The sequence below is a fragment of the Homo sapiens genome, chromosome 10 (assembly GCF_000001405.40).
Source record: "Homo sapiens chromosome 10, GRCh38.p14 Primary Assembly".
NCBI classification, from domain to species: Eukaryota; Metazoa; Chordata; class Mammalia; order Primates; family Hominidae; genus Homo; species Homo sapiens.
Genome location: NC_000010.11, coordinates 19,079,591 through 19,103,192, shown reverse-complemented (window position 1 = coordinate 19,103,192; position 23,602 = coordinate 19,079,591). Strand labels below are relative to the sequence as shown.

Sequence of the window (23,602 nt, the reverse complement as noted above, 5' to 3'; positions counted from 1 at the left end):
TGGAAATGATTGTTCTGTGACTTATTGTTAAAATGACTGAACGTGGCCTGTCACAGTGCCTCACGCCTGTAATCCCAGCACTTTGGGAGGCTGAGGCAGGTGAATCACTTGAGGTCAGGAGTTCTAGACCAGCCGGGCAAACATGGTGAAACCCCGTCTCTACTAAAAATACAAAAAATTAGCTGGGAGTGGTGGCGGGCACCTATAATCCCATATACTCAGGAGGCTAAGACAGGAGAATTGCTTGAACCGGGAGGCGCAGGTTGCAGTGAGCAGAGATCGCACCACTACACTCCAGCCCAGGTGACAGAGTAAGACTTGTTCTCAAAAAAAAAGAAGAAATGACTGAACGTGACATTAGGATGTGGAGCCCGCCCAAGACACCGCTAAGAAAAGATACTCTGGTATGATTGATCTGAGAAACTTAAAAAGAAGCCAGTCTCCGATTTTCTAATTAACTAAATCGATAGAAAATTGGCATGTTGATGGCAGACATTATCCCACCCTTATTAATGAGTATCACTGATGTTAGAGGCTTTGTTCATGGATGTGATGAACACATGTGCATTATTCAACCTTGTTTACAACATAAACATTTTATTTTTCAAGAAGTCAGCCCAGATTTTTAGGTTTACAATTGATCTGGATGCAGCAAAACACAACAGATCATTTTTCTATGGGAAATTCTTTCATCCCTGTACAATATGCTGTACCAATATATTTCCTTTCAAGCCATATGCTACCTATCACTCTATTAAAAGTCCACTGAGAAACATCCACAACCTATAGAAAAATCTGTCAATAGGTAGTCCTAAGAAAGTCGTATTTTCTTTATACAAAAATAAGTGTAACTACTTAGAAAATAGAACCATTTTGCAAAGGCCTGGCAAAGATTATTGTGTAGAGATAGTTTTATACAAAGGCAGTATAACACAGTGATTAAAAGTATGGCTAGAATCTGAATCCAAGATATAGCTAGGATCTGAAACCAAGTAGTTTGATTCAAAAGATATTTTTTCAAAAAATATATTTTTATATCATATACATAGTTATATAATATATATTATATAATTTATATCATATATCATATATGATATAATAATATGTTATACCATATATATGTTATAATTATATTATAATATAGATTATAATTAAATATAGTTTATAATTAAAACATTATAATATAGATATATGTTATAATTATATTATAACATATATAAATTAACATATATTATATAGATACAGATATTTTTAATCAAACTACTTGGAGATTATATATAATATATATTATATATTAATATATATTAATAAATTTGTAATATATACAAATACGTTATAGATATATCTCCAAGTAGAGATATAACATATTTATATATTATAAATTTATTCTATATGTATCCCAGTTGGATATATAATAATATAATATACATATTATAATATATATTATATATGTGATATAATGTATATATTATAGAATATATATTATATATACATATATGTATAATATACCTATATCTTATATACATAGATGTACCTATAGTATATGTATTGTATATATTTTGCATATGTATATATGTATATATACATAAAATTATGTATTATATATACAGATTATATATAATACAATATACATATTATATATTTTATATGTTATAATATCAATATTATATATTATATAATGATATACATATGCTATATATTTTATATAATATACAAGTATTAATTATATTATATAAATTATATAATATGTAATTATTATATTATATATTATTATAATATATAATATATGAATAATACAATATACATACCCAAGTTGGTTATATATAATATATAATTACATATATTATATATATCCAAGTAGTTTGATTCAAAATATCTATTTATAATATAGATATATGTTATATATTTATTACATATTATATATATTTTGAATATATATATATGTATTTCAAATCAAACTATTTGGATTCAGTTCCTTGGTATAACACTTAATAGCAACAGGACCTTGGAGAACTTATTTAACATCTCTGTACCTCAGTTTTCTTCTTTGTACAATGTAATGATAAAATGATAGCTTACATGATAAGGAAAAATGAGTTGCGAACATGTAAAACAGCACCTGGTATATAGTTAGCATTAAATAATGTTCACTACTGCTATTGTAACATAGTTATTAAAATATTTAAGCTGTTATATGAATTGTGTGTTTGTAGGTAAAAATCTATTCTTTACAAATTAACATTTTATTCTTTCTGAAAGCTTTTTCATAGAGATAGTCCCTAGCTGTTGCTGAGTTAAGGATACGCCTGCAGTCACCATAGTTTAAAAAAGAAGTAGAAGTAAGTGTTAACTATATCACATGTCTCTGGTTTTTTTTCTCCACACTCCTCACCAAAAAAAAACACCATTCCTCTTCAGGGTTGATAAATCAGAAACTTACATAACAAATGTTCATCTCTCTCCTGAACTCTCCTTCCCAGTTTCCACAGCCTGCTGGACATTTTCACTCAGATGACACAAGTCATTTATAATTCAAAACACTTTGTCCTTTCTCCTCGGATTGGAGCTCTCATCTCACTCTCATTTCCTGACAGTGGTACCAGAAGAAAGCTGCTCTCCAATGCTCAAAACTCCAAAATGACCTTGAGAGTTCCTTTCTCTTCCATTCTCATTTCCAATGAGATAAGCTCCATTAATCCCTATTTTCCTTTCATTCTTATTTCCTCTCCCATCTCCTCACCCTGGACTACTGAAGCAGCTTTTAAATTACTTTCTTGCTGTAATCCTCTCCTTATTAGAGTTTGCCATAGATATTATATGTTTATTTGATTCTGTTAAATTACATGTTAACTTGGTATAACTGATGAAACGTTATTTTGAAAATTCGCTGCCATTTGAGTCCCCTAGCCTAGCAGGAAGGAACATTTTTCTTAGGGAAATAAATATTTCTCGAAGTGGAGGGAAATTTACCAATGTGTCTATGTGGCTGTAAAACACAAGACACATCAGGCATAATTAAATAGTCTAGCTAGACAGATTTAAATGAAAAGAGTTGACAAGGATTTGGGTTACAATCTGGAAAATTAGCTAAAGAAAGTGGAACCCCAGGATGATTAAAAAAAAGAAAAAAATTTATTATTATGGTGGTTCACACCTATAATCCCAATACTTTGGGAGGCCAAGGCAGGCGGATCACCTGAGGTCAGGAGTTCGAGACTAACCTGGCCAACATGGCGAAACCCCATCTCAATTAAAAATACAAAAATTAGCCAGGTGTGGTGGTACACACCTGTAATCCCAGCCTCGGGAGGCTGAGGCAGGAGAATCGCTTGAACCCGGGAGGCAGAGGTTGCAATCTGAGATGGTGCCACTGTATGCCAACCTGGGTGACAGAGTGAGATTCCATCTGGCAAAAAAAATTAAAAAAAATATATATATATATAGGTTCTATGGAGGGTCCTGGTCAGAGCTGTGTTGGTGTATGGTAGTTTTATTTTTAGGAAAAGTAGTATCTAACATTCTTTGTTTTCTCCAAAACATCAGCAAGATTATTTCCCAAACACCCACCTCATTTTAATAATGTTGGAGAATAATATATATACATATAAAGGAGCAAAGCAGCAAAATAAAAGTGGATCATAGGAGAGATCATGGAGTTCCTATACCACAGAAGTCAGGCACAGCCTGCACTAATCCAACAGTGAACATGAAACAAATTCCTTTCACCCCAAACATTTTAAGAGAAGATAGATGACCTCTGAATAGACGTAAGTGGTCAGCACTCAAGCCACTTGATTTAAATGTCAGAGGAAATGGTGATGACCGATGGATAATACTATCTGGATGGCATTGATACAGGAGCTAGAAAGAAATTATTTAGGCAGATAGTGAGGGTAAAAGAGTCCTTGGCAAGGCTTCCCTTCTACCAAAAAGCAGCCCAATAAATTACTTTTTATAACAAATAGCAGCCTGAAAAATCGAGCTGTAAACATAGATAAGCAAACTGGAAGCTTGCACGGGTGAATGCCGGCAGTTGTGCCAATAAAAAAAGGCTACCTGGGGGCCAGGCATAACCAATATAGAAGCTCCGTCTTCCCTTTTATTACCACATGCACAGTAAAGAAACGGGCAACATGGCACCAGCCAGTTAGAGAACCCATTTGCATAATAAAATATTAGTGTGGGAAAGGCCAGCTTTTTGTGCCCTATGCAAACGGCACACCTACCCCAATCAGTTTTTTGTGCCTTATGCAAATAACACACCTAGTCTGACCAATCTTTAGTGCCCTATGTAAATCAGACACCGCTTCCTCAAGCTCATCTATAAAACCCCCTGCATTTCGCCATGGACTGGAAACCCATTCAGGACCCCTCTCTCTGCAGGAGAGAGCTCTTCTCTTTCTTTCACCTATTAAACCTCCATTCTTAACCTCACTCCTTGTATGTTCACGTCTTTGATTTCCTTGGCATGAAACAATGAACCTCAGGTATAGCCCCAGACAACGAGGCTGCTTCAGAGTGAGTATAAACATTAAAAACACTTACGGTTATATGTATTATGTAAGAGTTTTCTTAATTAGTAGTATACATTCCATTTATTTCCCAAGCAAACATTTGAGACACAAAATGATGAGAGTAATTATTTCCTCATCATATGTTATCATAAATATTATTGAATTAAAAGGGAAAATACCTCGGATAATGATTTTGAAGAGTGAGGGTAGAATTTTAAGAGTTAAGATTAAAATTTACATTTTTTAATGCAAAGCTCATCTTTTGTCTTTATTAATAAATTCTATTCTTTCTAAATAGGAGGCTGCTGAGAACTCTTCAGCATTTCTCGATGAAATATCAAAGAAATGAAAAGTAAATAATAGCATGTTAAAAATGCTTCAGTATCTTTTTATACTTAAGGCACTGATTGTTCATTTAGTTTAACAATCCAGACATTCAACGTGAAAATTATAGTCAGTGATATACTTAGTAGTAAGCTATAGTATTCATTCCTTCTTACCCATAAAACCGTTACATGAGCGTCCTTCAAGAACAACAACAAAAAGGAGTGAAAGTGTTACCGAAAAGAAGTCCCGATCCAGACCCCAAGAGAGGGTCTTGGATCTTGTGCAAGAAAGAATTGAGAGAATGTCCATAAAGTGAAAGCAAGTTTCTTAAGAAAGTAGAGGGATAAAAGAATGGCCACTCAATAGACAGAGCAGGGTGTTCCCGAAAGTAAGAGGAGGAACGCGTCCACCCTAGGTACAATACATGTTTATACACAGGATAAAAAAAGATCATGGGGAGATGTGCTCTGCTACAATCTTTTGTGATAAAGGATTAATTTTCTTAATTACTATGTTTTGCAAGAATCGACATTATTATCTTTAAAGCAAAATTAGGAATGATTTTGTTCTCAATGTATCGGGATACCAGGACACTCCCAAGTCCAGGTCTGTTTAGTAAATGTTATCAATCTGGTCCCTTAACAGTAAACATCTAGAGGCTAGGAATACCTAGCTTTCTGGAAATGCAACACAGAAAGCTCATTTTCCTAGCCCTCACTCAAGATGGGGTCACTCTGGTACTAATGCCTCTGACAAAAGAAGGTTTCACCTGAATTGGGGACTACATTTCTACTGTATGTTTAGTTCGTTTTATTCTTTGTCTCCTTGAACATTTTAGGACAACAGTAAAATTAATTGCTTCTGTCTGCAATTTTTTAAAAATGTGATTGCGATTAATCAGCAGCATGCAATGCCTAAAATTGTTGTTTTACCCAGCACAGCAGACAAAAGAATATTTAATGAGTCATACACTTCAGATTTGACCAAACTAGAGGTTGGGCTTTTTTTTCCGCTATGTATTCTAAACCCCTGTAATGCTTTAACATAATAAAAACATTATTATGGCTCAGTGACTCAGTAATTGAGATCTGAAATCAAACTACCCTAGAGTCTAAGCTGGTATGGGATTTAGTAGGTTATTTAACTCTCTAAAGCTTGTAATTCTCAGTGAATTATGAAGTAAATCATCTTTCTACCTTAGAGGATTTTTGTGAAGGGTCAATAAAATTATGTATCCAAAGAAGTAAACATAGTGCCTTACACATAGTAAGTGCTAAAGAAATTTTAGTTGTTATTATTCCTTAAATATCTTCAGAAACTCTCTGAAATGCTTCCGTCTTTGCTAAGTAGATAAATAGCAATCCTTGTGTATGCAGCAGCATTCCCTCAGAAGTTAACCTGCTTCAATTTCATTAAAGGAGAGACCTAGTCCTTCACAGATGGAGGTGATAAAGCCCCCAGGTGAGAGTCAGCTGCAGAGGCTTTCTCCAAAGCCCGTGCTAAGCTGGGATCCAGCTGGGACCGAAATCGCCTATTTGGACATTTTTAAAGGAAGGATGCATGGCTTTTAAGCTATTAGAAGCCAGCATGGAAAGGAAATGGCAGACAATGAAATAATTCTGAGAGGCTTGTAAGTTCTTGAGGCAGCAGATGCTGTCTGGAGACTCTGATTACAGAATTCCCTTGAATAAGCCCCTCACAAAATCTTTTCAGGAGTGAGTTATTAGATGGTGGCAGGCTGTTTTACAAGCACAGCACTTCTCTGTGGCCCACCAAACAAAAGCAAATGAACATCTGCTCACTTGCTGACAGGATAGAACTAAAGCATACCTGCAATCCGAAAAGGCTGGTGTAGCCGAAGGATCCCGAGAGAGTCGTATGGTTTCCTAATTTTTGCAAAGCCTTTAAGGTAAACACACTGTTTTCACATCAGCAATAACGTATTTTGGGATATAAAATTAATATATTGCACACGTATCTGCTTTAGTTGAAGCCACTGGTACATTTAAAGCACTCAAGTGAATAACCTTGCTGTCTCAGCTACAGCCGAATCACCCTGGATATTACATATTCTGGAGTTTTACGTTTTTTTATTGATCTACTGCACATATTTAATCATCAGAACTCAGGATGTATCACTTGAGAATAGGAAGCTGAGCAAAACAAGGACGTTATTTTGAAAGGTTTGACCTACAAGATATAGCAAGTTCCAGCTCTACTCAACACTCTAATATCTTATGCTTCTTATAGAGACCTTGATCAAAAAACATAGACACGTCTAAAAAGGCACAAAGCTTGGCAAAAGTAATTTAAGACTCCCATACCATCAGCTCTGTTTCAAAGTTGAAAAAGATGTGTAAATGATGATGGAGTGGACCCATAGATAAGATTCTCATCTCACTTATTAAATATCTGCAAGAACGGAGAGAGATGGAACTTCAGCAAGATCATCCTTCAGCGTCTACTCAATGTGACTCAATCCCCATAAACACAATCTTGGCCTGGTTTTGTTGCTTTTGTTGTCGTTGTTGAGACAACAAGCAGACACAGGGAATTGAGAAGTTTAAGAAATAAAATAACTTCTCCAGCGGTTAATAACACTTGAGCATCCACAGCAAATTAAATACATTATTGGTGCTCGGGGGTACTCATTCTGCATACCACAACCCTTGAAAGTCACAGACGTCTTCAGGGCCCAGGGACACATAGTATCCCCTCCCCATACCTATCAATCATCTTCCCTTAACATGGTGTAGGGAACCTTCCCTTCATTGTACCTACCACATCCAAGAGCCCCAAATTAATCTTTCTTAAGTGAATGAATGAATTGTTGATAGAAAGACTTAAGTGCCTGATGGCTTAAGATGATTTTCTAACCACCCACACTCCCAACACTGATATTTGACTTCAACAGAGTACAGTCTCAGTCTCTGGTTAGTGTTTCCAATGGGAGTTTCTCTGAAGTCGTGCCATACGGGTGTCATTTAACCATCTGTTAAGGGATTTTTTGTAGCCTTCTTTTGACCCTCATTAAGTTTATTGAAGCCTGAAAATTCCAAATTATAGTGATTTACAACCAATCAATTAAGAAACTATGCCATTCCTATATCTTATAATTCAACTTTTACAATGAATATCCTGTTCATTTAGCCATTCTTTTCCTCTTAGGCACTCAAAAGAATCGAACGTAAAATTGAATCCAATTTAATCTCTATATTTAAGCAAGTGCTAAATCTACCATATAACAAATGATATGATTTATATCAAATTTATGAAATTATTATATCATTCTAATAACAGATGATAAAAAAACCAACTTGGGTTAAATTGACTCACAGAGCAAGATTAGAAAGTTTTAAGGAATAAAATGCTTTAAAATCTCATGTTTAACAGGAAAATTTTGTTTGATTGTCCCAAATGTTAAAATAGGCAATAATTCTTCAAGAACTGGTAATAATCATTAGATTATCATTTCGACCATGCATAAGTTTTATTAGGCTGCATAAATAAGTTTGTGTTTTATAGGCTTGCATTGGCTTTAATTCTCTAAATTACTTTAGAAAATAAAGACTGTGTTAAGTTTATCTATGAAATGAATATGACAATTATTCTACTTCAACAGCATTTGGAATAAGTATTTAAACAGTCTCCTTCCTCATTACCCAGCATTCCCTTTTCTCAAAAGCATGAGAAAAGTCTGGAAGGAAAAAGAAATGAAAGGAAAGAGGAAGTTGGGGGAGGAGCCAAGATGGCCAAATAGGAACAGCTCCGGTCTACAGCTCCCAGCGTGAGCGACGCAGAAGACGGGTGATTTCTGCATTTCCATCTGAGGTACCGGGTTCATCTCACTAGGGAGTGCCAGACAGTGGGCGCAGGCCAGTGTGTGTGCACACCGTGCGCGAGCCGAAGCAGGGCGAGGCATTGCCTCACCTGGGAAGCGCAAGGGGTCAGGGAGTTCCCTTTCCGAGTCAAAGAAAGGGGTGACGGACGCACCTGGAAAATCGGGTCACTCCCACCCGAATATTGCGCTTTTCAGATCGGCTTAAAAAACGGCGCACCACGAGACTATATCCCACACCTGGCTCAGAGGGTCCTATGCCCACGGAATCTCGCTGATTGCTAGCACAGCAGTCTGAGATCAAACTGAAAGGCAGCAACGAGGCTGGGGGAGGGGCGCCCGCCATTGCCCAGGCTTGCTTAGGTAAACAAAGCAGCCGGGAAGCTCCAACTGGGTGGAGCCCACCACAGCTCAAGGAGGCCTGCCTGCCTCTGTAGGCTCCACCTCTGGGGGCAGGGCACAGACAAACAAAAAGACAGCAGTAACCTCTGCAGACTTAAATGTCCCTGTCTGACAGCTTTGAAGACAGCAGTGGTTCTCCCAGCACACAGCTGGAGATCTGAGAACGGGCAGACTGCCTCCTCAAGTGGGTCCCTGACCCCTGACCCCCGAGCAGCCTAACTGGGAGGCACCCCCCCAGCAGGGGCACACTGACACCTCACACGGCAGGGTATTCCAACAGACCTGCAGCTGAGGGTCCTGTCTGTTAGAAGGAAAACTAACAACCAGAAAGGACATCTACACCGAAAACCCATCTGTACATCACCATCATCAAAGACCAAAAGTAGATAAAACCACAAAGATGGGGAAAAAACAGAACAGAAAAACTGGAAACTCTAAAACACAGAGCGCCTCTCCTCCTCCAAAGGAACGCAGTTCCTCACCAGCAACGGAACAAAGCTGGATGGAGAATGATTTTGACGAGCTGAGAGAAGAAGGCTTCAGACGATCAAATTACTCTGAGCTACGGGAGGACATTCAAACCAAAGGCAAAGAAGTTGAAAACTTTGAAAAAAATTTAGAAGAATGTATAACTAGAATAACCAATACAGAGAAGTGCTTAAAGGAGCTGATGGAGCTGAAAACCAAGGCTCGAGAACTACGTGAAGAATGCAGAAGCCTCAGGAGCCGATGCGATCAACTGGAAGAAAGGGTATCAGCAATGGAAGATGAAATGAATGAAATGAAGCGAGAAGGGAAGTTTAGAGAAAAAAGAATAAAAAGAAATGAGCAAAGCCTCCAAGAAATATGGGACTATGTGAAAAGACCAAATCTACGTCTGATTGGTGTACCTGAAAGTGATGTGGAGAATGGAACCAAGTTGGAAAACACTCTGCAGGATATTATCCAGGAGAACTTCCCCAATCTAGCAAGGCAGGCCAACGTTCAGATTCAGGAAATACAGAGAACACCACAAAGATACTCCTCGAGAAGAGCAACTCCAAGACACATAATTATCAGATTCACCAAAGTTGAAATGAAGGAAAAAATGTTAAGGGCAGCCAGAGAGAAAGGTCGGGTTACCCTCAAAGGAAAGCCCATCAGACTAACAGCGGATCTCTCGGCAGAAACCCTACAAGCCAGAAGAGAGTGGGGGCCAATATTCAACATTCTTAAAGAAAAGAATTTTCAACCCAGAATTTCATATCCAGCCAAACTAAGCTTCATAAGTGAAGGAGAAATAAAATACTTTATAGACAAGCAAATGCTGAGAGATTTTGTCACCACCAGGCCTGCCCTAAAAGAGCTCCTGAAGGAAGCGCTAAATATGGAAAGGAACAACCGGTACCAGCCACTGCAAAATCATGCCAAAATGTAAAGACCATCAAGACTAGGAAGAAACTGCATCAACTAATGAGCAAAATCACCAGCTAACATCATAATGACAGGATCAAATTCACACATAACAATATTAACTTTAAATATAAATGGACTAAATTCTGCAATTAAAAGACACAGACTGGCAAGTTGGATAAAGAGTCAAGACCCATCAGTGTGCTGTATTCAGGAAACCCATCTCACGTGCAGAGACACACATAGGCTCAAAATAAAAGGATGGAGGAAGATCTACCAAGCCAATGGAAAACAAAAAAAGGCAGGGGTTGCAATCCTAGTCTCTGATAAAACAGACTTTAAACCAACAAAGATCAAAAGAGACAAAGAAGGCCATTACATAATGGTAAAGGGATCAATTCAACAAGAGGAGCTAACTATCCTAAATATTTATGCACCCAATACAGGAGCACCCAGATTCATAAAGCAAGTCCTGAGTGACCTACAAAGAGACTTAGACTCCCACACATTAATAATGGGAGACTTTAACACCCCACTGTCAACATTAGACAGATCAATGAGACAGAAAGTCAACAAGGATACCCAGGAATTGAACTCAGCTCTGCACCAAGCGGACCTAATAGACATCTACAGAACTCTCCACCCCAAATCAACAGAATATACATTTTTTTCAGCACCACACCACACCTATTCCAAAATTGACCACATAGTTGGAAGTAAAGCTCTCCTCAGCAAATGTAAAAGAACAGAAATTATAACAAACTATCTCTCAGACCACACTGCAATCAAACTAGAACTCAGGATTAAGAATCTCACTCAAAGCCGCTCAACTACATGGAAACTGAACAAACTGCTCCTGAATGACTACTGGGTACATAATGAAATGAAGGCAGAAATAAAGATGTTCTTTGAAACCAACGAGAACAAAGACACCACATACCAGAATCTCTGGGACACATTCAAAGCAGTGTGTACAGGGAAATTTATAGCACTAAATGCCTACAAGAGAAAGCAGGAAAGATCCAAAATTGACACCCTAACATCACAATTAAAAGAACTAGAAAAGCAAGAGCAAACTCATTCAAAAGCTAGCAGAAGGCAAGAAATAACTAAAATCAGAGCAGAACTGAAGGAAATAGAGACACAAAAAACCCTTCAAAAAATCAATGAATCCAGGAGCTGGTTTTTTGAAAGGATCAACAAAATTGATAGACCGCTAGCAAGACTAATAAAGAAAAAAAGAGAGAAGAATCAAATAGACACAATAAAAAATGATAAAGGGGATATCACCATCGATCCCACAGAAATACAAACTACCATCAGAGAATACTACAAACACCTCTACGCAAATAAACTAGAAAATCTAGAAGAAATGGATACATTCCTCGACACATACACTCTCCCAAGACTAAACCAGGAAGAAGTTGAATCTCTGAATAGACCAATAACAGGCTCTGAAATTGTGGCAATAATCAATAGTTTACCAACCAAAAAGAGTCCAGGACCAGATGGATTCACAGCCGAATTCTACCAGAGGTACAAGGAGGAACTGGTACCATTCCTTCTGAAACTATTCCAATCAATAGAAAAAGAGGGAATCCTCCCTAACTCATTTTATGAGGCCAGCATCATCCTGATACCAAAGCCGGGCAGAGACACAACCAAAAAAGAGAATTTTAGACCAATATCCTTGATGAACATTGATGCAAAAATCCTCAATAAAATACTGGCAAACCGAATCCAGCAGCACATCAAAAAGCTTATCCACCATGATCAAGTGGGCTTCATCCCTGGGATGCAAGGCTGGTTCAATATACGCAAATCAATAAATGTAATCCAGCATATAAACAGAGCCAAAGACAAAAACCACATGATTATCTCAATAGATGCAGAAAAAGCCTTTGACAAAATTCAACAACCCTTCATGCTAAAAACTCTCAATAAATTAGGTATTGATGGGACGTATTTCAAAATAATAAGAGCTATCTATGACAAACCCACAGCCAATATCATATTGAATGGGCAAAAACTGGAAGCATTCCCTTTGAAAACTGGCACAAGACAGGGATGCCCTCTCTCACCACTCCTATTCAACATAGTGTTGGAAGTTCTGGCCAGGGCAATCAGGCAGGAGAAGGAAATAAAGGGTATTCAATTAGGAAAAGAGGAAGTCAAATTGTCCCTGTTTGCAGACGACATGATTGTTTATCTAGAAAACCCCATCGTCTCAACCCAAAATCTCCTTAAGCTGATAAGCAACTTCAGCAAAGTCTCAGGATACAAAATCAATGTACAAAAATCACAAGCATTCTTATACACCAACAACAGACAAACAGAGAGCCAAATCATGAGTGAACTCCCATTCACAATTGCTTCAAAGAGAATAAAATACCTAGGAATCCAACTTACAAGGGATGTGAAGGACCTCTTCAAGGAGAACTACAAACCACTGCTCAAGGAAATAAAAGAGGACACAAACAAATGGAAGAACATTCCATGCTCATGGGTAGGAAGAATCAATATTGTGAAAATGGCCATACTGCCCAAGGTAATTTACAGATTCAATGCCATCCCCATCAAGCTACCAATGACTTTCTTCACAGAATTGGAAAAAACTACTTTAAAGTTCATATGGAACCAAAAAAGAGCCGGCATCGCCAAGTCAATCCTAAGCCAAAAGAACAAAGCTGGAGGCATCACACTACCTGACTTCAAACTATACTACAAGGCTACAGTAACCAAAACAGCATGGTACTGGTACCAAAACAGAGATATAGATCAATGGAACAGAACAGAGCCCTCAGAAATAATGCCGCATATCTACAACTATGTGATCTTTGACAAACCTGAGAAAAACAAGCAATGGGGAAAGGATTCCCTATTTAATAAATGGTGCTGGGAAAACTGGCTAGCCATATGTAGAAAGCTGAAACTGGATCCCTTCCTTACACCTTATACAAAAATCAATTCAAGATGGATTAAAGATTTAAACGTTAGACCTAAAACCATAAAAACCCTAGAAGAAAACCTAGGCATTACCATTCAGGACATAGGCGTGGGCAAGGACTTCATGTCCAAAACACCAAAAGCAATGGCAACAAAAGACAAAATTGACAAATGGGATCTAATTCAACTAAAGAGCTTCTGCACAGCAAAAGAAACTACCATCAGAGTGAACAGGCAATCTACAACATGGGAGAAAATTTTCACAACCTACTCATCTGACAAAGGGCTAATATCCAGAATCTACAATGAACTCAAACAAATTTACAAGAAAAAAACAAACAACCCCATCAAAAAGTGGGTGAAGGACATGAACAGACACTTCTCAAAAGAAGACATTTATGCAGCCAAAAAACACATGAAGAAATGCTCATCATCACTGGCCATCAGAGAAATGCAAATCAAAACCACAATGAGATACCATCTCACACCAGTTAGAATGGCAATCATTAAAAAGTCAGGAAACAACAGGTGCTGGAGAGGATGTGGAGAAATAGGAACACTTTTACACTGTTGGTGGGACTGTAAACTAGTTCAACCATTGTGGAAGTCAGTGTGGCGATTCCTCAGGGATCTAGAACTAGAAATACCATTTGGCCCAGCCATCCCATTACTGGGTATATACCCAAAGGACTATAAATCATGCTGCTATAAAGACACATGCACACGTATGTTTATTGCGGCACTATTCACAATAGCAAAGACTTGGAACCAACCCAAATGTCCAACAATGATAGACTGGATTAAGAAAATGTGGCACATATACACCATGGAATACTATGCAGCCATAAAAAATGATGAGTTCATGTCCTTTGTAGGGACATGGATGAAATTGGAAACCATCATTCTCAGTAAACTATCGCAAGAACAAAAAACCAAACACCGCATATTCTCACTCATAGGTGGGAATTGAACAATGAGATCACATGGACACAGGAAGGGGAATATCACACTCTGGGGACTGTGGTGGGGTTGGGGGAGGGGGGAGGGATAGCATTGGGAGATATACCTAATGCTAGATGACACGTTAGTGGGTGCAGCGCACCAGCATGGCACATGTATACATATGTAACTAACCTGCACAATGTGCACATGTACCCTAAAACTTAGAGTATAATAAAAAAAAATAAATAAATAAATAAATAAAAAAAAACTTTATAAAATAAAAAAAAAAAAAAAAGAAAGAAAGAGGAAGTTGGAGCAGTAAGAAAAGTAGAGAGGAAAATGGAGGGGGTTCAAGAAATTAGGAGAAAATTAAAAGGTTATATTTTACTGATATATTAGTATGCCTTAAAATACACCAACTTTAGTTTTAATACATAAAATTCAAAACCTTATTGTAAAAGTGTCTTTTAGGGTGACTAGCCATCCCAAATTGCCTGAGATGTCCACTTTCAGCATTTGAAAGTCCTGGGAAATCCCTCAGTCCCTGGCAAACTGGGACAGTTGCCTTACTTTTAGTTCACCTGGTGTTAAAGATCTGTATCTTATTTTTCTTCAAGGCCATAGTTAGAAAATAGAACACACATACCTGAAATCTCTGTGAACTCTGGATTTTGATGACATTTCTCTCCCACTGATTTGGGAGTGCAGCTGTGTTTTGCCATAAATGCTGAATAGGACCTCCACATGCAGTTTGAAGCCCAACCATTAATTTGCCACTCACTTGGCAGGAGAAGTAATAAAATGTAATCTGTGAAAGACAATTAGTACCCAAACAATTATGATAAAGAAGTCCCCAAATGTGACAAAATATTTAAAATGCTGTGTGCTTTCAAATACCTGGCAGTCATGTTGATCATTTGTTGGAAGGAAAACTCTGCTTCTTAAACTTGAGGAAATAGAATCCACTCTGGAAACCAGTGAGAGGAAGTGAGCTATCAGAAAGAAGAGACAGGGTACAAAAAAAAACCAGAAAGAATGAATAAGACCTACTATTTGATAGCAAAATGGGATGACTATAGTCAATAATAATTTCACTGTACATTCAAAAATAACTAAAAGAGCGTGATTGGATTGTTTGTAACATAAAAGATCAATGCTTAGGGGATGGATACCCCATTCTCCATGATGTGATTATTACGCATTGGATACCTGTATCAAAACATCTCATGTACCCCATAGATATACACATCTACTGTGTACCTACAAAACTTAAAAAAAAAAAAAAGAAACGAGACAACGTGTTAGATTCAGAGTGATCACTGGTGAATTTAAGGCGCCAAGTGATAATTCAGGCCCACATCCTCACTAGATTAATAATTTTTTTTGTTTAAAGAACAAATAATTTAACCACATCATTTACTTTTGCAAACCATCTGATATTTTTACTTCCTTATGTTGCCCAGTGACATAGCTAATTGCAATTATATACTCCCTATAATATGATTATGGGCTACAGTTCGCAACCCAATTTATCACATTTAACAGACAAAGGTACATCCCTGCAAAGATGCTATCTAGCGAAAACATTATACTATTAGGACTGCCTACCAAAATAAGCAATTCGATGAAGACTTTTGACAGAGCAGGAGCACCATCATCTTGGACAAACACCACCATTTTAAGTTCCAGCTCCCTTTCTAACCTTATGCATTTCAAAGAAATCACTTCTAACAACAAGCAGCTAGAAAGAGCAGACAGTAAAATACAGATAAGATAGCTGTATGGTGTAAAGACCAAACTTCACACTCATACAATGGGCCCAAGTACAACAGTGGGCCCTAATAAGCACATTCCTTTCTCTTTAAGTTCACTAACATAGGGAAGCTAAAAGCAGACTTGGGGGGTATGCCTGCAGCTGCAGAAAGATGTATGGGAACAGACACAAAACTCTCCCTCTCAGATAAGCAAGACAAAGAGACACAGAAACATTCTGAGCCTGTGATAAGCTCGCCCATCCTGAACCCTAAAATACTCTTAGTCTGTAAGAGAGAGGGCTCTTGACCTAACTCGGCCAGAGGCCCCTCTCAGGTTCATTCTTTAAAATAAACCTGTTTCTGACTGATGAGCCACTTTTCATGTTTCTTTCTTCCTTCTTCAACTCGTACAGCTTTAGAAGAGATCATTGCTCACTGTGCTTTTGTTCAGAAAGAGTTGGATCAGATAGTCCCAGCTTTTCCTAGGATTAAGGAAAACAACTCTGAGCCCAGATGCTTTCAAATGCACTGCAGTACGGATAAAACCAGTGGACTCTCATGGTTTAGAAGCCTGTAAAATAAATGTTGAGCATTCCCTGGGCTCTCATAGATTTCCTGTGATGCTTTATTGTGAGTTCTAGCATATAATCTGAGAACCATTGTTTTCTGCCACTCTATTTCATGTGCTTCTCTTTGTCAAAAGGAATGAGAAATATGATGATGATGTCTATGATGACATAGCTACCTAAGTTATTCAGTGGTATTTTAAAGCCAGATTGGAAATAAAATCTAATTGTCACATCATTAAAAGAATCAATAGTAAAATTATGAGACCTAAGGAAGAAACCTCTCTTCCCTACTCCTATTCCAAAATTGCATCCTAATTAAGCAGCAAACAGTGATATTAACGATTGCTTATGAATATAGTCAGAGACATAACTGAAGTAACTGTAATAACACAATTATTCTAAGAATATACTTACTGGAATTATTATGTAAACACAATTTAGATGAAGAGCGGGTATCATGGTGATGCAAGTGGACTATCATTAGTTGGCTCTTGCAGCAGGTAAACAAATGTTAAGCAAGTGACTAATCAAATACGCATAATCAGCCATATGCATATATTATTTTAGGTTTAAATAATACTATTAGCAATACAAATGGTAATAGCATTCAGTCGGCTCTAAATTATTGTTTATAAATATTCAACTACTAAAAAGAATCCCTGAGATAAACAGAAAAATTATTTTTATTTGTCAACGATATTACCTAAATTATTCATATATATTTTTAAAAGCTTGATATTAAAAATCAGATTTGACACATTAAGTTATTAAATAATAAAAGTAGCATTTTTCAGTGATATTTTTCAACTCACACATGAGTAAATTATTTAATATTTAAACAGTGTTTTATAAATAAAAACTTTGTCATTTGGTATGTGTTATGGCACTATAAATTATTCTGTATTTTATCAAATATTCAATAAAGGTTAATCTTCAGGTTATAGTAGAAAGTAAAGGTTTAAATTCAGAAACAGCTTGATATCTTTTGACATTTTTTCTAGTAATAAACTTTTTTCTTTGTATGGGGAAAAAATTGTTCAAAATGCACCCAGTGGCAATATCTGTTTTCTATGTTTAATTTTAACTTAGTGACAATCACAATTTTTTTTAGTGTGTACTTCATTTTACCTTGCTCCTTTAGTATGAGTATAGAATTTCTTTAATTCACAGATGGAGATGTTCCCTAGAGAAAAATGTCACTTCATAGAAAGTTCCCTGGCTTTCCAGAGAACATTTTTCATCATGGCTGTTTATGAGTTTAAGAGAAAAAGGCAAATCTTTGACAGCATAACTTTTCTCCACATGACCATTCCCTCATTTAACACTCCCCTTTACTACAGCTCTAACCAGCCAGAATAGACTGCATGAAGCTCTTGAACAACAAAGTTTATATTGAATATTCTCTCTATAAACCTCTTGTACTTCCTTTAGCAGCCTAGTAATACACATACCACATGCAAACACATAATCACCATTATCATCATATATCTCTATTAATCTCTACACCATCCTCATTATAGCTTGTTTACATGATACTTAAATTCCCACGTTGTGCCTGCATTCATGAAAGTCAATGCATAATGTCTTTGAAACACATATGTAACATAATCTTGTGACAAATAGTTAATTATTAAAATGACAAAATAACATAAATAGCATAATTTCATTTATAGTCTTAAATGTTTACGTTAGAGGACTTTTAAAAATACTTTTTCTCAGTTACTGGTTAAGTTTTGGAATGAAATCCCAAGTTTGATGACAAAAAAGGAGGTATATAAAATATGAAAGCAACAAAAACCATGAATCAAGGATTGAGAGCTAAATCCAATAACTTTGGCAGTGAATCCCATCAACCTTGATCTTCAGGAAAGATAAGGTAGAATTTTCGGTCTCACTTTCCTCAACCATTGATGGGCAGCCTTGTACTTCCTCCATTTCCCACGTTCTGAGAGATTAATGGACCTGAATGTGAGCAGGAGAAACATAAATCCTGTTGCATGCTACAGAGTAACCAATTGGCTCAAAGGAATTCAAAAAAGGAGCATTTTAATAGTGAGATAATATCAGTTCTCAAGAACATTAAAAAAAAATCAGGCTGTAGGAATGGATCATCAAAACAAGATCCAAGGCTTGAAGCAAATGTTAACATGTCAAAACTTATAGAAATATGAAAGTGCACTAATTTCTGACAAACACATAGTTTAGTTCGGATAATAGAGAGCAAATAGTAGTCTTAGATACAAACCTCTTCAAGTTGATAATTTCTGTCTATTTATTAAATTCTGTTTCCTTTGAATCATACGTTTTGACTCATACCAATTTATTAAGCTAGCAAGCTCAACAGAACCAGGTAATATTTGCTAAAATGGTATCACTTAAAGAATACCCTAAAATAGTAATCCCTTATCATTACTACAAGTTGTACATGGATGCTGCCATATCAACTTATGTCTGACTTCAGTGACAAAGGGCTATGTGAGTCGCTTTAGGAGATCATAAAATATGTAATAAACCACAAGAGTATTGTTAATGAAAACACCAGAATAGAGATCTCTGAAACTTTTTCCCCCACAAAATGAATTTTAAAACTGGCAAAAATGTCAGAATCAACTTGTCTGGAACTCTGGAAATTAGCCAAAGCTTTTTGGTAATTTGGAGGGCTTTTATTCAACAAATGGCTAAATCTCAGTTTTAAAAAATGGTGAGTTTTATGGGCTTTAACTTGCCCTAGTCTCATTGCCCACTCTCCAGTTTCACATTTAACTTTGAAAAATAGCAGCTTGCATTCATGTGAAGCCTGGCAGCCACAAGAATGAGTAAAATGGTGCTAGACCTTTTTCAAAGCCTCATTCTCAAACAATTGTATTATTTGACCTGTCTTTTGGTTCTCTGAAAGACCACAATTAAAATGCCATCTGAAATTGACATAATAATAGCTTGCTCAGTATAAAATGCTTTTTCTACATAAGGGGTTTGTTGAAAACAATTACCAGCAAGTGTTATAACTTCATAGTCACCTGAGGCAGTGTGTAACAGTTAGTGAAAATAATAAACTAATAGAATGAGACATCGATAGGGAGTTTAAAAAGTTCCAACATATTCCTGCAAATCTAGCCAGACATGTGCATGTGTAGGGCTGTGCACATGCTCTGGAAATACCTGAAAAGACCCTAAGCCCTAACATCTGGCTGATATTGAGGCTCTATGAAAGCAGGAAATGGAAACTAATGCAGAGTTATCAGCTGCCTGGATGAGCATGGAAAGTGCACCCCAACATACACACAGAATCCCTCAGCAAAACATAGAGATTTATTGGTCCCAGGCTGCTTTTGTCTGAAAGTTTGTGCCCCTGCACACACACACATTCATATGTGGAAACATAATCTTTGAAGATGAGACTTTTGGGAGGTGAGTAGACTCTGAAGGTAGAGTCCTCATGGATGGATTTAACTCCTTTATAAAAGAAGGCCTCGAGATTTGCTTTGCCCCTTCCACCATGTGAGAACACAGCAGGATAGTACTGTCTTATGAACCAGGAAGTCGTCCTTCATCAGACACTTGAATCTGCCAGTGCCTTGATCTTGGACTTCCCAGCCTATAGAACTGTGAGAAATAAATTTCCATTGTTTATAATCTACTCAGTTTATGGCATTTTGTTCTAGCAGCCAAAATTGACTAAGACAGTGACATCTAAGAGACTCTCAGTAAAGTCACTAAATTAACAACAAACAAAACAACTATAACTACAACAAACAGTAACAGAAGCAAATGTGTGGGAGTTTTTGGGAGAGTGAGCATCTGATTTCCAGAGGTCCAAGAGTATATTGTTTTAAATGTCCAGGTTTTTTTTTAAAGTGAGAAATGCAAAGAAACAAGAAGATATCTCCCATGCAGAGAGAAAAAAAGCAAAGCAATCAATACACAATGTCTCTGAGAAAGACCAGACTTATTAGACAAAGACTTTAAATCAGCTATGTCAAATGTTTTCAAAGAGCTAAGGAAAACCATATATAAAGAACTACAGAAATCATAAGAATAATGTGTCATAAAATAGAGGACATCAATAAACAGGTAGATATTATATAATCAATAATTATTATAATCAATTATATAACTGATAAAAATCAATAATAATAACTTAGGCTATGGGCACAATATGTAATGATGTAATTTGTGGCAATAACAGCATAAAGAAGAAGTGAACAGAACTATATAAGATCAAATTTTTTGTATATTATTAAAATTACATTGGCATTAATCCAACCTAAGTTGTTGTAAATTAAAATGTTAAATGTAATCCCTAGGGCAACAACTAATAAAATAATTCAAAAATATATAGTAAAAAAAGAAAAGGATATTAATATAATACACTAGAAAACATCTATTTAACAAAATAAGGTAGTAATGGAGGAATAGAGTAATAAGAAAAAAATAAGTCATACAGAAAACAAGTAGCAAAATGGCAACAAACAACATATCGCTCTGATGATAGGTATAATCATAATTATATAATATGCAAATAGATTAAATTCTTAAATCAAAAGTAAGAAGTTGGCATATTGTATAAAAACATGATCTAACCATATGCTGTCTACAAGAGACACATTTTAGGTTCAACTACAGAAAAAGGTTAAAAGTAAAAGGGTATAAAAGACATACTATAAAAACAATAACCAAAAGAAAGCTGAAATCGCTATATGAAATTCAGAAGGATGATTTTCTTTCTTTTCAACTTTTATTTTAAGTTCTGGGGTACACATGCAGGATGTGCAGGTTTGTTACACAGGTAAACGTGTGCCACGGTGGTTTGCTGCACAGATCAATCCATCACCCAGGTATTAAGCCCAGCATCCATTAGGTATTCTTCCTGATGCTCTACCTCCCCTCTCCCCTCCTGACAGGTCCCAGTGTCTGTTGTTCCCTGCCATGTGTCCCTGTGTTCTCATCATTCAGTTCCCACTTATAAGTGAGAACATGTGGTATTTGGTTTTCTGTTCCAGCACTAGTTTGCTGAGGATAACAGTTTCCAGCTTTATCCGTGTCCCTGCAAAGGACATGATCTCATTCCTTTTTATGGCTGCATAAAATTCCATGGTGTATATGTACCACATTTGCTTTATCCGGTCTATCATTGATGGGCATTTGGGTTAGTTCCATGTCTTTGCTATTGTGAACAGTGCTCCAATGAACATACGCATGTATGTGTCTTTATAATAGAATCGTTTATATTTATTTGGTTATATACCCAGTAATGGGATTGCTGAATCAAATGGTATTTCCAGTTCTAGATCTTTGAGGAATTGCCACACTGTCTTCCACAATGGTTGAACTAATTTACATTCTCACCCACTATGTAAAGCATTCCTTTTTCTCTGCATCCTGGCTAGCATCTGTTGTTTCCTGACTTTTTAATAATCGCTATTCTGACTGGTGTGAGATGGTAATCTCATTGTGGTTTTGATTTGCATTTCTCTACTAATCAATGATGTTGAGGTTTTTTTCATATGTTTGTGGGCCACACGAATGTTTTCTTTGAGAAGTGTCTGTTCATGTCCTTTGCCCACTTTTTAATGGGGTTGTTTGTTTTTTTCCTGAAAATTTAAGTTTCTGGCAGACTCTGGATATTTGACCTTTGCTGGATAAATAGACTGAAAACATTTTCTCCCATTCTGTAGGTTTTCTGTTCACTCTGATGATAGTTTCTTTTGCTGTGCAGAATCTCTTTAGTTTAATTAGATCCTATTTGTCATTTTTTGCTTTTGGTGCTATTGCTTTCAGTGCTTTCATCATGAAATCTCTGCTTGTGTCTATGTCATGAATGTTATTGCCTGGATTTCCTTCTAGAATGTTTATAGTTTTAGGTTTTACATGTAAGTCTTTAGTCCATCTTGAATTAATTTTTGTATAAGGTGTAAGGAAGGGGTCCAGTTTCAATTTTTTGCATATGGGTAGCCAGTTCTCCCAGCACCATTTGTTAAATAGGGAATCCTTTCCCCATAGCTTGTTTTTGTCAGGTTTGTCAAAGTTCAGATGGTTGTAGATGTGGGGTCTTAATTCTGAGTTCTCTATTATGTTCCATTTGTCTATGTGTCTGTTTCTGAACCAGTACCATGCTGTTTGGGTTACTGTAGCCTTGTAGTATAGTTTGAAGTTGGGTAGCATGATGCCTCCAGTTTTGTTCTTTTTGTTTAGGAGTGTCTTGGCTATGAGACCTCTTTTGGGTTATATACTAATTTTAAAATAGTTCCTTCCAATTTTGTGAAGAATGCCAATGGTAGTTTAATGGGAATAGCATTAAATCTATAAATTACTTTGGTCAGTATGGCCATTTTTACAATACTGCATCCTCCTACCCATGAGCATGGAATGTTTTTCCATTTCTTTGTGTCTTCTCTGATTTCTTTCAGCAGTAGTTTGTAGCTCTCCTTGAAGAGGTCCTTCATTTCCCTTGTTAACTATATTCTTCAGTGTTTTATTCTCTTTGTAGCAACTGTGAATGGAAGTTCATTCATAATTTGGTTCTCTACTTGCCAGATGTTGGCATATAGGAGTGCTAGCAATTTTTGCACACTGATTTTGCATCCTGAGATTGCTGAAGTTGCTTATCAGCTTAAGGAGCTTTTGGGCTGAGACAATGGGGTTTTCTAGATATAGGATCATGTCCGCTGCAAACAAAGATAATTTGACTTCCTCTCTTCCTAGACTAATATGCTTTCTTTCTTTCTCTTGCCTGATTACCCTGGACAGAAGACAGAATTCTTATTGGAGACAAAGCAGGGCATTTTATAATGACAAATGGGTCAACCAATCAAGAATATATAAAAACTATAAACATCTCTGCACGTAAAAACAGAGCCCTGAAATATGTGAAGCAAAAGCTAAAATAATTGAAATGTAGACCATTTAACAATAATAGTT

General features: G+C 36.6%; 1 protein-coding gene across 8 annotated transcripts in view, besides 1 other annotated feature; it reads right to left on the bottom strand.

The window, feature by feature from the left end:
• MALRD1 (MAM and LDL receptor class A domain containing 1) overlaps positions 1-23,602 on the bottom strand; it is a 687,552-nt gene that overhangs the window by 631,286 nt on the left and 32,664 nt on the right. For 7 of the 8 annotated variants that reach the window (XM_011519453.3, XM_011519455.3, XM_011519454.2 and 4 more), the window contains 2 exons: positions 15,259-15,353; positions 15,008-15,169 (listed from right to left, as the gene is read on the bottom strand). In XM_011519453.3, coding sequence (XP_011517755.1) covers positions 15,008-15,169; positions 15,259-15,353 — 257 coding nt within the window. Of the gene's footprint in view, positions 1-15,007; positions 15,170-15,258; positions 15,354-18,407; positions 18,647-23,602 lie in introns of all 8 variants that reach the window. The other variant, XM_017016182.1, reaches the window with a different exon arrangement.
• Positions 8,926-9,505: an enhancer, noted in NCBI's record as "H3K27ac-H3K4me1 hESC enhancer chr10:19382617-19383196 (GRCh37/hg19 assembly coordinates)". NCBI's record gives its function as "activates a minimal SCP1, AML or CMV promoter by ChIP-STARR-seq in naive H9 embryonic stem cells {active_cell/tissue: H9 hESC(naive)}" and the evidence as "EXISTENCE:reporter gene assay evidence [ECO:0000049][PMID:30033119]".